At 35.4% G+C, this 15,183-nt stretch overlaps 1 long non-coding RNA gene across 2 annotated transcripts in view; it reads right to left on the bottom strand.

Moving 5' to 3' along the window:
- LOC105374655 (uncharacterized) overlaps positions 1–15,183 on the bottom strand; it is a 213,260-nt gene that overhangs the window by 165,095 nt on the left and 32,982 nt on the right. The window contains exon 3 of one of the 2 annotated variants that reach the window (NR_188266.1): positions 4,000–4,138. This is a non-coding gene — a long non-coding RNA (uncharacterized LOC105374655). Of the gene's footprint in view, positions 1–2,599; positions 4,139–15,183 lie in introns of those variants that run through there. The other variant, NR_188267.1, reaches the window with a different exon arrangement.

A 15,183-nucleotide genomic window follows, 5' to 3' on the forward strand; every position in this document is an offset into this window, starting at 1 on the left:
CATAAGGGGATCTTTGTAGGATTTCCACCTTGACAATCTGGTGTTGATCCCGCAAATAGAATCCAAAAAGTGTTAAGGTTTCTCTAAGACTGTGGCACCCTGGAATTTCTCACAGTCAGGCTAGTTAGTATACACTTGACCTCTGGAAATTTGTCAAAATTATCATATATATGTTCCTGCCTGTTTATGATATCAGTGGCTTCTGCTCCAGGTAAATATATCTCATCTATGACTCTGTTATATATTCACCTCTCCAAATTTTGGAGGGATGTTTGCCCTGTAACCTTAGATCTCTAATGGGTACAAGAAAAGTGGTTGATTTATAGCTTGTCAAGCTTTTTCTTATTATGTGTACAGAAGTGATGACTTCCACTCTTTTTATATGTTGAAGCCACAACTAGCAGTTCCTCTTCATTATTTTTTTACTTCTTATTCTCTCATAATCATCATTTTTTCTCTCTCTGAGAATATAACAAATTTTATTAAAAATTTGTATCTAGAAATGTTACATAATGTTTGTGGTTTTAGGTCTGTTTTTATTCGTCTTACTGGACATACAGAAATCATATTTAATCTGATTTTTGCTTACCATTCAGCTGTGTAAAATTTTCCAACACTATGTTTTTTAGTATATTTTTCTTCATTCTCCCTCTTCTAATGTTTTGGAGCCCTTATGAAGGATTAAAGATCATTTAAAATATTCCCTTCTCTTATTTTTTGTGGCTTGTAGATGCTATTTATTTAGTGTAGACTGATGACAGAACTTCTGGAAAAGAGAGACATTGTCTAGACAGGTAAAGTAGGTCTCCAGCTTTTCTAGTTCCAGTGGAGCCTCTGCTTCTCTTGGTGTTCATAACTTAAATGAACCTATCCCTGCTTCCATAGCCCAAGTATGTGTAGGTCAAACACCTCTTCTTTGAACCTCTTTGAAGGCTTTCATATTTTCCATTTGTTTTCTCCTGAATTGGTTTCACATGATGGCTTTCTTTCCTGGACATTAATTGTCTGCCTGTCTTTCACGTATTCATTATATTCTGGTGTCCTGATGGGAATTCCTTTATACTCCAGTGATATTCTTTTTTTTCTTTAAACATTTATTTTAGGCTCAAGAGATACATACACAGGTTTGTTACACGGGTAAATTGTGTGTCTTAAGGGTTTGGTGTACAGATAATTTTGTCACCCAGGTAATCAGCATAATATCCAATAGGTAGTTTTTCAATCCTGTCCCTCCTCCCACACTCCACCCTCAAATAGGCCCCAAAATCTGTTGTTTCCTTCCTTGTGTCAACGACATTCTAAATCTTCTTTTTTTTTTTTAAGATTAAATTAGTTTTACCCAATTTTTACCTACAAATTTAAATCGTAGATAATTGTAGAAGTCTTTTTTCTTAAAGACAGCATAGTAAAACTATGCAGTGAAACAGCTTTAGTGGCTTGCATTAATTGTTTGTTTAATTTAATCAGTCTTGTTGTTTATTGATAAAATACTTTGCAATATACAAAAACAATGACCAAGAAGTGTACCATTTATGAACCTAAACATCATTTCCCATTACTCCTGGTATGTTTGTGACAAATTATGTTAAACTTATTAGTCACCTCAGATACTTGATACTTTGTGGTATAATCTATACTTATTAGGGCTGGAGAGCACTCTTCCTGAGGTGCCAACACTGAATTTATCACAGCTAAATCACAATGTGTCAGTTGTATTATGATAATGAATTTCTTTATCTAGAATGTATTCCTGACCCAGACAATTAGTTACTCAATCAGCAATGTTTCTTGACCCCTAAGTATAAGGAGGATTAATTCTACTCTGCATAGTGGGGAGTTAGAAGCAGATTTTCTTTCAAGTAGCAATGTACTCCAATTGTTAGGAAAATTATGCTCAGATGATAAGTTTAAGTTGAGGAAAGGATATTCCTCTTCTAAAATCCTATGTCTGTGTGAACAATTCATTGAATTTACAGAGGGAACATAGTCAAAACAATTAAAACTGTTACAGCATAAGAGCCAGCCAATCAAAACAAGTGTCTCTGATGCACCATACACAGGCAGAAACATGGCTAAATATCACTCATGTTTAGCAATAAAAGGAAAAAAGTCATATATATATAGGTAATGGGGATGGTAATAGTGTTTCACTATCTACTCAGGCACACACAATTTGCAGGCATTGGAAAAAATCTAAACCTACACTACCTATGTAACTAACTGAAAACACAAAGATTACTTTTTCCCAAACTTCCCAAACTCTTGAAAATAAAATTCATCCAAAAATATTTATTGAGCACTGTCTACTTTTGTAATGTGTCAAACACTGTGAAATATGCTTATAAGAGAATTCTAAATAGACTGTGTAGCAGTTTTCCAGGAGCTAACATTCTCTTAGATGGAGATAGGCTAGGCAAATTTATAAAATAAAAAAAATTATCAGATTGTATTAAATTCCATTAAAAAATTAAACGAAGTGATATGATCTTGCAGAAATAATTTTAAGATAAGTGTCCAGTAAAGTCACTTGCAAGTGAGAGTTGAGTAGTCACCATCTGAAGTTCTGTACACTTATTAAACAATGTAATTCTCACATAAATGCAGTCAGCTAAGCAATATTTTTATTCCCATCTTTCAGATGATGGAACAGAGGCACAAAAATGTCAAGTAATGTGCCCCAGGTCAGGGCACTCAGATCGTAGGTCTATGACCTTTATCACTATACCACACTGCATCTCCTGGTGAGAACTCATGAAAGTCTAAGATGATGAGACAGTTGACTACCTGAAAACATAATAGAATAAGTTTCTATTTAGAGATGACCATCCTTACAAAGCTAGAGGAAGACGTGGATGAGGAGTTGAGGTTGGAATGGGGTCCTGGTCCAAATCATGGAGAGCTTGCAGGGGATATTTAAAAAATATATACATATATAATTTACATTTACATATATGTGTATTTGTATATGTAAATATATATGACCAGATAATATGTTTTAAGAATCTTTTGAAAAGTGATAAATAACTTCAAAATAAAGATCATTACTGCAATTTATATACACAAAGAGATTCTTAAGTCATAAAAACTTGTCATATTACCATACGAAAGTATTGACTATTATACAGCAAATGAGATACTCTTCTTCTAAAGCAGTAAAAATATTGTTTATAATAATAGCTAACATTTTTGAGTACTTACTCCATGCCAAGCATTGCTGTTAGATGTTCTACAAGAAATATCTCACTTAATTCCATAAAACACCAGGAAGCAATACAATAATTTACAGGACAAGATCTAATTTTGTCTCGATTAAAAGCCTCTGTTGTAGGAGTTCTTTTTTCCCTTGACAGTAGTGATTTTTATGTAGAATATCAGTAAGTTCTGCTAATCTGATTCCTGTTCAGAAGTTTAAAATTATTTTTAAAATAAAAATGTTACTTGTGTTACATATACTGAATAGAAAAACAGAATTCCTGATATGACTTAGTTGAAATAGTTTAATGGATTGGGATTTTGTTAAGAAAAAAATTAGATGCATCACCGTTAGCCCATATCATCACCGTTTTGTTTCAACATTGTTAATTGTTTATATAAGAAGAGGACATCGGCTTTTGATTAGAAAACCTATCCTAAGTCTTTTCTCATGTTTAGATTTTGACACTGGTTGTTCCTTATCTCTTTTTCTCAGTTTTTCATCTATACAACTCACTGATCATTGCATCAGGTGATCTTATAAGGAAGCAGAAGGCAGGATGGGGAATTTTATCACAGACTGTTGCTTCCTCATGCAAGATCCACTCTCTCAGGAAGACGTGCTGAGAAAAATATAATTCATTTTCCTGGCAAACCTCTGGCCTCTGAGAAACCCTTGAGAAAACCGAAGCCTACTTCTGTAAGCGAGGCAGTCAGGGAGAAGTTGCCTCATAAAGCAGATGGTGGTCAGCTTGGTTATGAAACGATAAACTAAGGAGACAAATCCCAGCGATGTTTTACACTTACCTGTATCTGACTTTGCTCTTGGACAGTCAATACCAATCCTGCCTGTTCCATTTTAGCAATCAGTGGAACTACTCTAGTCAGTTGTACAGGTGGCCTCAGGTGAAAACTCAGGGCAGGACAAATATTCAGGAGATGAGACCTGGGGAAAACAGATGACAATGGACAAGTTACAGTCATTCCTTCATCCATCATCCTTCAATAAATGCCTGGTGAGTGGACTATGACTTAGCCAGTGCTTCCTCCCAATGCATCTCCAGAGGTTTTGAAGTTGAAGCCCTAAGCTTTGGAAAGGCATAAGTTCTTAAATTTTATTAAGTACTATTACTGCTTTCTCTTTTATTATATTTTAATGTCATATCTAAGAAATCATTATCTAGTGCTAAATCACACACATGATTAACGCTAAATCATGCTAAATCCTGCTATGTTACCTTCTAGAAATTTTATAGTATTAGGTTTTACATTTAGGTCTGTAATGCACTTTGAATTATTTATATGATTTGACTTATGTATTGATTTTTTTTTTTTGCATATGGATGCCAACTTGTTCTGACAACACATTACAAAAGAACTATTCTTTCTTCATTGACTAGGCTTTGCATCATTGTGAATAACAGTTGACTACATATAAGTGTATCTGTTCTGATTTTTTATTTTTATCTAATGTATTTGCTTATTATTAGGCCAATACCATCCAGTCTTTATTAACTAGTACTAGCTATACTATGTTTTGAAGTAGGAGACTGAAACTTTGGCAACATTTTTTGTGAAAGTTATTTTGGCTATTCTAAGTTATTTGCACTTGTATATAGTCTGTTTTACACAGGTTTTTTAAAAAAATTCAAATTCCCTTTTACACCCATTTTTTAAAAAATATTGTTAGTTTTAAGTTTACTGTCCTGTAATTTGTGACTTTACTGTCTGTACTTTGTTCCTTTTTCTTCTTATTTTTTAATACATTGACTAGGTTTCCTCCTAGTATATTTTTATTGTTGGCTTTAACTCTATGTCTTGTTTTTAATGGTTGCTTTCAAGTTTACACATCTTTCATTTATCTAATTACCTATTTACCTTCAGGAACTATTATGCAATTTCACATATAAGAATCTCTAAACATTATACTTTATTTCTCACTTGCCCGAATTCATGCTATCCTTGACAGACATTTTAATTTATATGTGTTATATATACCCAAATATATTATGTATTAACTTGCTTTAAATTGAAAAATATCTTTTAAAAATAACTAAATAAAATTAAAATATCTTTGTTTCTAAAATTTATATTTTCAAATTTTGTCACACTTCCTTTCTCTATGTAGATGTACATTTTTCACATTTCAAAAGGACCTTTCTCAATATTTATTGTATTACAGGTCTGCTAATGTTAATATCTTTTATTTTTAAATGTCTGGAGCCAAGATGGCCACCTAGACCTAGCCAGGAAGGGCTTCTTCCACTGAGAGGGACTAAACCATCAATTAGACTGGCACATTCCAAAGAGACCTTCAGAAAGAAAGCATTGAGAGTGGACAGGAGGAGGATGCAGACTCTGGGATGAAAGGGGATGAATCTAGGAACCCTGCACGAGGTTGTCAAGCACAAGAACTAGTTCCTCACCCTGAGCGGCTGCTGGGGAAAGGGTGAGTGGAATAGATATGGTTCACTCTGCCACAGACCTCTGGTAACCTAGGTAGAGGAGAGAGACCCTATGACCTCCATGGAAATTTCAGCCGACAGGAGAAACTGCCTAGAGAGTTGGCAGAGACAGAACCCCAGCCTTCATGGAGGCCATGGGACTTGGCCTGGGAACAGCTGCAGTGGAGCATGGCCATAAGTACTCATTCCAGAAGGCTCACCATCATCTTCTAGGTGGCTTTAGCCTTTATTAGCTGTCTGACCAAAACAGAGCAGGGCTATCTTACCTATTGGATGGACCCAGGCTGATTTGAGCACCCCTTGACTGCTGGTTTATCCCAGGGTTCCTGCCTGGCCACACCTGCTTGTAGCACAGCCTCAGCTGCCAGCTGAAGTGCTTGCTGGTGGCCCCCACTGGCAACCACATGTCCACAGCTCTTGCACTACCAGCATGCACTTGCCTGCAGCCTCCCATCCACTGCTTCACCACTGCACACGTGCTTCTCCATGTTGCTGCTGGCATATGTGAACACAGGGACTCCCCACAGCCCACTGCCTCCCCACCAAAGTGCTTTTTGCCAGAACCCCTCATCAAAATGTTGTTGCCAGTGGACTGGGAACAGCTCAGTCCCCGAAGTACAGCAGGTACTTAACTTCAAGGGGCTAGAGAAAAAAAAGCTATGGGCCTGGACCAGCCCCCAAGATAGAGCACACAGCCTAGGAGTGTTGAACTAAGCCTTGGCTCCCTGAAATTATTCAGAAATGAAGCCAATTGACTAAATCCAAATTAGACCACAGTCAAATCCTCAAGGGAATCAAAGAATATAAAAGCAAGATGTTCCATTCAAAAGATTAAAGTAACTTTAAAGATTAAAGTAACATTAACCCCAACATATGAGAAAGAACTGTGCAAGATATCTGGCAGTTCTAAAAACCAGAGTATCTTCTTACCTCCAAAAGATTGCACTAGCTCTTCAGCAGTGACTTGTAATCAAAATGAAAAGGCTGATGTCTGGATGGCAATGAAGATCATCAAGATTATGAGAAAGTTGAAAACCAATGCAAATAATCTAAGGAATTCAATAAAATGATACAAGAGCTGAAAGATGAAATAGTCATTTTAAGATAGAACCAAAGTAATCCTCTAGAGCTGAAAAACTCACTATGAGAATTTTGTAATACAATCAGAATTGTTAATACCAGAAGAGACCAAGCTGAAAAAAGAATCTAAGAGCTCAAAGACTGGTTATTCAAATCAACTCAGTCAGACAAAAGTAAAGAAAAAAGAATTTTAATAATTAACAAAACTTCTGAAAAATATGAGATTATGTAAAGAGATCAAATCTGTGACTGGTTTGTGTCCCAGAAAGAGAAGGGGAAGAGCAAGACATTTGGCAAATATATTGAGAATACTGCCCATGAAAATTTTCCCAATATTGCTAGAGGACTCAAGATGAAACTATAGGAAATTCAAAGAAATCCAGTGAGATACTATATAGGATGACCACCCCCAAGACACATAGTCATCAGATTTTCTAAAGTCAATGTGTAAGAAAATACATTAAAGACAGCTAGAGAAGAGGAGCAGGCCACATTTAAAGGAAACCCCATCAGGCTAACAGCTGAACTTTAATTCAGCTGAAACCTTTTTTTTTTTTTTTTTTGAGACGAAGCCTTACTCTGTCGCCCAGGCTGGAGTGCAGTGGCGTGACTGCAGCTCACTGCAATGTCCACCTCCGGGGTTCAAGCGATTCTCCTGTCTCAGCCTCCTGAGTAGCTGGGGCTGACTACAGGCATGTGCTACCATGCCCAGCTAATTTTTTATTTTTAGTAGAGATGGGGTTTCACCAAGTTGGCCAGGCTGGTCTCGAACTCCTGACCTCAAGTGATCCACCCACCTCGACCTCCCAAAGTGCTGGGATTACAGACATGAGCCTCTATGTCTAGCCCAGCTGAAACATTTTAAGCCAGAAGAGATTGGGAGCTTATATTCAGTATCCTTAAAGAAAAGAAGTTCCCACTAAGAATTTTATATCCAGGCAAACTAAGCTTCAAAAGTGAAGCAGAAATAAAATCCTATTAGACAAGAAAATGCTAAGGGAATTTATTACCACCAGACTGCCTTACAAGAGGTAGTTGAGGGAATGCTAAACATTAAAACAGAAGAATGTAACCTGCCACCATGAAAACATGCTTAATACATAGCACACTGACAGTATAAAGCAACATCAAGTCTCCATAATAACCAGCTAACAACACAACGACGAGATCAAATCCTCACATATAAATATTAACCTTGAACATAAAGCAGCTAAACACCCCACTTAAAAGACACAGAGTAGCAATTTGAATAAAGAAGCAAGATAAAACTGTATGCTGTCTCTCCACATCCTCTCCACATCGATGTGGAGAAATAGGAACACTTTTACACTGTTGGTGGGACTGTAAACTAGTTCAACCATTGTGGAAACCAGTGTGGTGATTCCTCAGGGATCTAGAACTAGAAATACCATTTGACCCAGCCATCCCATTACTGGGTATATACCCAAAGGACTATAAATCATGCTGCTATAAAGACACATGCACACGTATGTTTATTGCGGCACTATTCACAATAGCAAAGACTTGGAACCAACCCAAATGTCCAACAATGATAGACTGGATTAAGAAAATGTGGCCCATATACACCATGGAATACTATGCAGCCATAAAAAATGATGAGTTCATGTCCTTTGTAGGGACGTGGATGAAATTGGAAATCATCATTCTCAGTAAACTATCCCAAGGACAAAAAACCAAACACCGCATGTTCTCACTCATAGGTGGGAATTGAACATTGAGAATACATGGACACAGGAAGGGGAACATCACACTCTGGGGACTGTTGTGGGGTGGGGGAAGTGGGGAGGGATAGCATTAGGAGATATACCTAATGCTAAATGACGAGTTAATGGGTGCAGCACACCAGCATGGCACATGTATACATATGTAACTAACCTGCACATTGTGCACATGTACCCTAAAACTTAAAGTATAAGAATAAAAAAAAAAAACTGTATGCTGTCTTCAAAAGACCCATCTCACATGTAATTACACCTATAGGCTCAAAGTAAAGGAGTGAAGAAAAACCTACTTATCTAATGTAAAACATTAGATAAGTTGCTGATACATTTGGGATATATGTTTCTACTCAAACCTCATGTTGAAATGGACTCCCTGATGTTGGAGGTGGGGCCTGTTGGGAGGTGATTGGATCATAGGGCAGATTTCTCATGAATGGTTGGCACCATCTCCCTGGTGGTGTCCTCATGATAGTAAGTGAGCTATCATAAGATCTGGCAATTTAAAAGTGTGTTGCACCTCCCCTTACCCTTGTTCCTGCTCTGGCCACATGAGGTGCCTGTTTTCCCTTCACCTCCTGCCATGATTGTAATTCTCCTGATGCCTCTCCAGAAGCTGAGCAGATGCCAGCATCATCCTTTCTGTATAGCCTGCAGAAACATGAGCCAATTTAACCTCTTTTTTTTTTTTTTGAGATAGAGTCTCACTCTGTTTCACAGGCTGGAGTGTAGTGGCATGATAACCATTCATTGCAGCCTTGACTTCCAGGCTCAAGTGATCCTCCCACCTCAGACTCCTGAGTAGCTGGGACAACAGATGCATGTTACCACTTTCATCTATTTTTGTATTTTTTGTAGAGAAGGGATTTTGTTATGTTGCCCAGGCTGGTCTTGAACTCCTGGGCTCAAGTGATCCCACCCTAGCCTCCCAAAATACTGGGATTACTGGCATAAGACACCATACCTCACCTCTCTTTTCTTTATAAATTACCCAGTCACAGGATTTTTTATAAAAATGTGAGAACAGCCTACTACAGATTGTTATTCTTATTTTAGACTAAACATACTTTAAACCAACCAGTATCAGAAAGTAAAAGAAAGTCACTACATAATGATAAAGAATTCCATTTAATAAGACTTACCTATCCAAAATATGTATGCACCCAACACTTTAGCACCCAGATTCAAGTTTTTAGAGATGTACAAAGAGACTTAGATAACCACACAATAATAGTGAGAGACTTCAACACCCCATTGACAATGTTAGACAGATCACTGAGGCAGAAAACTAACAAAGATATTCAAAGTGTGCAGCCAACACTTGACCAAATGGACCTAACAGGCATCTATGGAACACTGCACACAACAGCAACAGGGCATACATTCTTTCCATGTGTACATGGTGCATACTCTTAGATTGACCACACACTTGGACATAAAGCAATTCTCAAAAATTTCATAAAAATAAAAATCATACCAACCACACTCTTGGACCACAGTGCAATAAAGATAAATAACTATGCCAAGAAGATCTCTCAAAACTGTAAAATTGCAAAGAAATTAACCCTTTTCTGGTTGGCCCCAAGAATACTTGCCCACAGTGCTTGTGGCTTGGTGTTTGCCCTGAGATAACTTTGCCATGAAATATTTCGCTTTTCTTCTTATTTTTGCATCACTCTTTAGTATATTGACCTTGGAAACAGAAGACATTGTTCTATTTTATAGCATTCTGGTTTTAGTAGTGGTATTTCCATGTATAAAATATGGTAATTCTTGATAGCTGAAAATATCAAATCCTAGAAAACATAGTATCCCTACACATGATATTAACATTGTTCTAAAACAATTGGCCAAAGATTGATTTGATGAATCCATTTTTTTAAAAAATAAATGACTCCGATGATTCAGGTGATTTTGATGTTACTTCTGTTTAGAAATTACTCCAAGAGCAGTTTTTATATTTTATTTTCATATAGAAAATCTGTCAGATTTGCTTCAAACTCAAAGAGCATGTTTATGTAAAATTAAATGATTGCAGACAGTGAGCTGCACTTATTTTTTTTAAATGGAAAAAGGTTAAAGAACTGCCTCCTAAATTATTTAAGGTAAAGAATAAAATTAATACAGAAATCAAGAAATCCACTGAAAGTAATGAAAACAAAGATACAACATTTCAGAATCTCTGAAACATAGCTAAAGTAGTGCTAAGATGAAAGTTTATAGTGTTAAATTCCTACATCCAAATGTTAGAAAGATCTCAGATAAACAACCTAACATCACATCCAGAGGAACTAGAAATACAGGAGCAAAACAACTCAGATGTGAGCAGAAGAAAATAAATAACTAAAATCAGGGCTGAACTCAATGAAATTGAGACATGTAAATTCATAAGGAGAATCAACAACACCAAGAGCTAGTTCTTTGCAAGAATAAATAGAATTTACAGACAAATAACTAGACTAATAAAGAACAAAAGAAAGAAGGTCCAAACAAACACAATCAGAAATGACAAATGTGACATTATCACTAACCCCACAGAAATATAAAAAACCTCTCAGAACCTATTATGAACACCAGTATGCACACAAACTAGAAACCTTAGAAGAAATGGATAAATTTCTTGAAACATAAAATATTCCACGATTGAACTGGGAAGAAATTGAATCCCTGAGCTGACCAATAATGAGTTCCTAAATTGAATTAGTAATAAGAAATTTACTAACCAGAAAAAAGGTCTGTACCAGACAGATTCACAGCCAAATTCTACCAGACATAGAAAGAAGACCTGGTATGAATCCCAGTGAAACTATTCCAAAATTTGAGAAGAGACTCCTCCTTAACTTCCTCTACAAGGCCAGCATTATTCTGATACCAAAACTTAGCAGAGACATAATGAAAAAAAGAAAATTTCAGGCCAGTACCCTAGATAAACATAGACACAAAAATTACCAACAGAATACTAGCAAATCAAATACAGCAGAATATAAAAAACTAATCCATCACAGTCAAATAGGCGTTGTTCTTGGTATGCAAGTTTGGGTCAACTTACGCACATCAATAAATGGGATTCGTCACACAAACAGAACTTAAAACTAAAGCCACATGGTCATTTCAATGGTCATAGAAAATGCATCTATCTCTTCATGTTTAAAACCTTCAACAAACTAGGTATTAAAGGAACATGTCTCAAAATTATAAGAGCTATCCATGATAAACCCACAGCAAACATCATACTGAATGGGAAAAAGCTGGAAGCCTTCCCACTGATAACTGGAACAAGACAAGTGTATCCACTCTCACTACTTCTGTTCAACAGAGTACTGGAAGTTCTAGCTGTCAATCAGGTAAGAGAAAGAAATAAAATAACATACAAGTAGAAAGACAGCAATCAAATTATCTCTCTTTGCAGATGATATGATTCTATACTTAGAAAAATCCCATAGTCTCTGCACAAAGTCCCCTAGAACTGATAAACAACCTCAGTAGTTTTATGATAGAAAATCAATGTTCAAAAATCAGTAGCATTTTTATATACCAGGAACATCCAAGCTGAGAGCCAAATCAAGAATTCAATCTCATTCACAATAGCCACAAAAAGAACAAAATACCTAGAAGTGCAAATAACCAGGATAGTCAAAGATGTTTAGAATGAGAATTATAAAACACGACTGAAAGAAATCCGAAATGACACAAATAAATGGAAAAATCTTCCATGCTCATGGATAGGAAGAGTCAATATTGTTAAATGGACATCTGCCCACAGCAATATACAGATTTGATGCAATTCCTATCAAATTATCAACATTATTTTTCACATAATTAGAAAAAGCAATTCTAAAATTTATATATGACCCTGAAAAGAGTCCAAATATCCAAAGCAATCCTAAGCAAAAAGAAAAAGCTGGAGGCATCACCTTATCTGATTTCAGATTTTAATTATAAGTCTATAGTAACCCAAAGAGCATGGTACTGGTACAAAAATGGGCACATAGATCAATGGAACAGAATAGAGAATCCAGAAATAATAAAGAAACATACCTATAACCTACTGATCTTCAACAAAGTTGACAAAAACATACAATTGGTAAAGAAGACCCTATTCAATAAATAGTGCTGGGAAAACTGAATTGCTATATGCAGAATAATGAAACTGGAACCCTATCACTCATTAAATACAAAAATTAACTCAATCTGCATTAAAGACTTAAATGTAAGACCTGAAACTATCTTAATTATCAAAGAAAACCTAAGAAAATCTCATTTAGGCATTGGACTAGGAAATGAATTTATGACTAAGACCTCAAAAGTAAATGCAACAAAAATAAAGCTAAACAAAAAAATCAGAACATACATAAATTAAAAAATCTTTTGTACAGTAAAAGAAATAATCAACAGAGTAAATATGTAACCTCCAGAATGAGGGAGAATATTTTCAAACTATGCTTCCAATAAAGGACTAATATCCAGAGTCTATAAGGAACTAAAACAACTTAGCAACAACAACAAAAACAATAACAGCATTAAAAAGTGGGCAAAGGACATGAACAGACATTCCTGAAAAGAAGACACAGAAGCAGCCAGAAAACATATGAAAAAATGTTGAATATTATTAATCATCAGAGAAATGCAAATTAAAGCCACAAAGAGATACCATCTCAAAGCAGTCAGAATGGTTATTAAAAAGTCAAAAAACAACAGATGTTGGCAAGAATGCAGAGAAAAGGGAATGCTTTACACACAGTTGATGAGAATGTAAATTAGTACAACTTCTATGAAAAATAGTATGGAGGTTTCTCAAACAATTAAAAATAGAATCACCATTTGATCTGGTAATCTCATAACTAGATGTTTACCCTCCACAAAATAAATTGTGATATCAAAAAGACACCTGTACTCCTATGTTTTCTGCAGCACTATTCACAACAGCTAAGTCATGGAATCAACCTGAGTTTTGATCAACAAATTGTTGGCTAAAGAAAATGTGGCATATATACACCATGGAATAGTACTCTGAGATAATAAAAAATAAAACCATGTCATTGCAGCAACATGCATGTTGCTTGAGGCCATTATACTAAGTGTTTTTTTACTCAGAAATAGAAAAGCAAATACCACATGTTCTCATTTATAAGTGGGTGCTAAACAATAGATACCTATGGCCATATAGAGGAGAATGATAGCAACTGGGGACTCCAAAAATGGGGAGGGTGTTTGTGGGTGAGTTTGGAATAATTATCTATTTTGCACAATACTATTTGACTGTCCAGGTGATGGATACACTAGAAACCCAGACTTTGCCACTATGCAATATATATCCATATTACGAAACTGTACATGTACCCCCCGAATCTATAAAAATTAAAAAAATACATTTTAACATAATAAAATATAGAATTTTAAATTTAAACTAAATAAGTTTTATTCAAAACCTACTTCTTAGAGACTGCCAATAGACTCTATATACTTGGCAAAGATTCTTGAAATACAGAAAATAGGCAAAAGACAGACCCTGGCATGTAATGCAGTTGTACAAATTAGAAATAAAATGACAAGTAATGAGTAGGAAAAAAAGGCAAATGATATAAAAGACATGTCATGAAATAGGAAATACATGTCACAGGAACATTTTTAAAGATGCTGAGAAATCACTTAACAGGTACAACATACAGTGTTTGGGTGATGGTTACACTAAAAGCTCAGAGTTCACCACTATGCAATATATCCATGTAACAGAATTGCACTTGAACCTCTTAAATTTTGTTTAAAATATACTCGAAATTATTTATAGGTAAATTCCAATGAAGTCCACACTTATTCAGTTGGTAAACTTTAAGAATGTTGCAATATCGTATTCTATAGAGCACATGTATCAGTCAGATGACTTGTATATTATGCTCCTGAGTTTAACATATTGCAATCCATTTTGTTAAATGGCTTGGCATTATATTGTGAAGACCAGTTTTCATATACAATGAGTCAATAACATACTTGTCTACACTCGTGAGAATTTTTAGTCCTTGTATCCCAGGAGAGAGTTACAATACTTAAAATGGCACTGCTCCAGATGTTAAAAGACAAAAGGAAGAAGACGAAATATAATCTGCCTTGATAGAGAAAATGAATAAATTGTAACACATTGCCACAAGTAATCCACACATTACAGAAATAAATGATAGCTACACTTAGCAATACGAATGTCCTGTCCTAATCTCTAATCTCTAGTGAAGAAAAAGACAGTTACAGAAAAATATATACTCTCTAATATTATTTTTGTGGAATTCAGCAACAATTGTGTGTGTATGTGTTTTTGTGTATGTATGTATAAGCACATTTATATGAAGCACTCACATAAATATTTTAATAAGTGATAAAATGATATTTAAAATTTTATAAAAGGGACAACAAAAAAATGCTTTAAGGGAGGGCGTAAGTAGATGAACATGGCTGTTAAAGTTCTAGAGCACTGAGCAATGGCCGTTCTTTGTATTATGAGAAACCCATATGGATAAGCATATGTAAATCTCTTACTGCACCAATAAAATCTAAATTGTTTCTCTTCTCATATCAATGAATAAAATAATATGAATATTACTAGCTGTTGCCCCTTTTTATATCTCTTTTTCTTCTATTTTATTTCTTGCAACACCTAGAATCTGATTTTTCTAAATTTCAAAGTGAAGCTGAAATAAACTTAGTTCCTTATATGG

The sequence above is a fragment of the Homo sapiens genome, chromosome 5 (genome assembly GCF_000001405.40).
Source record: "Homo sapiens chromosome 5, GRCh38.p14 Primary Assembly".
In the NCBI taxonomy this organism is placed as follows: domain Eukaryota; kingdom Metazoa; phylum Chordata; class Mammalia; order Primates; family Hominidae; genus Homo; species Homo sapiens.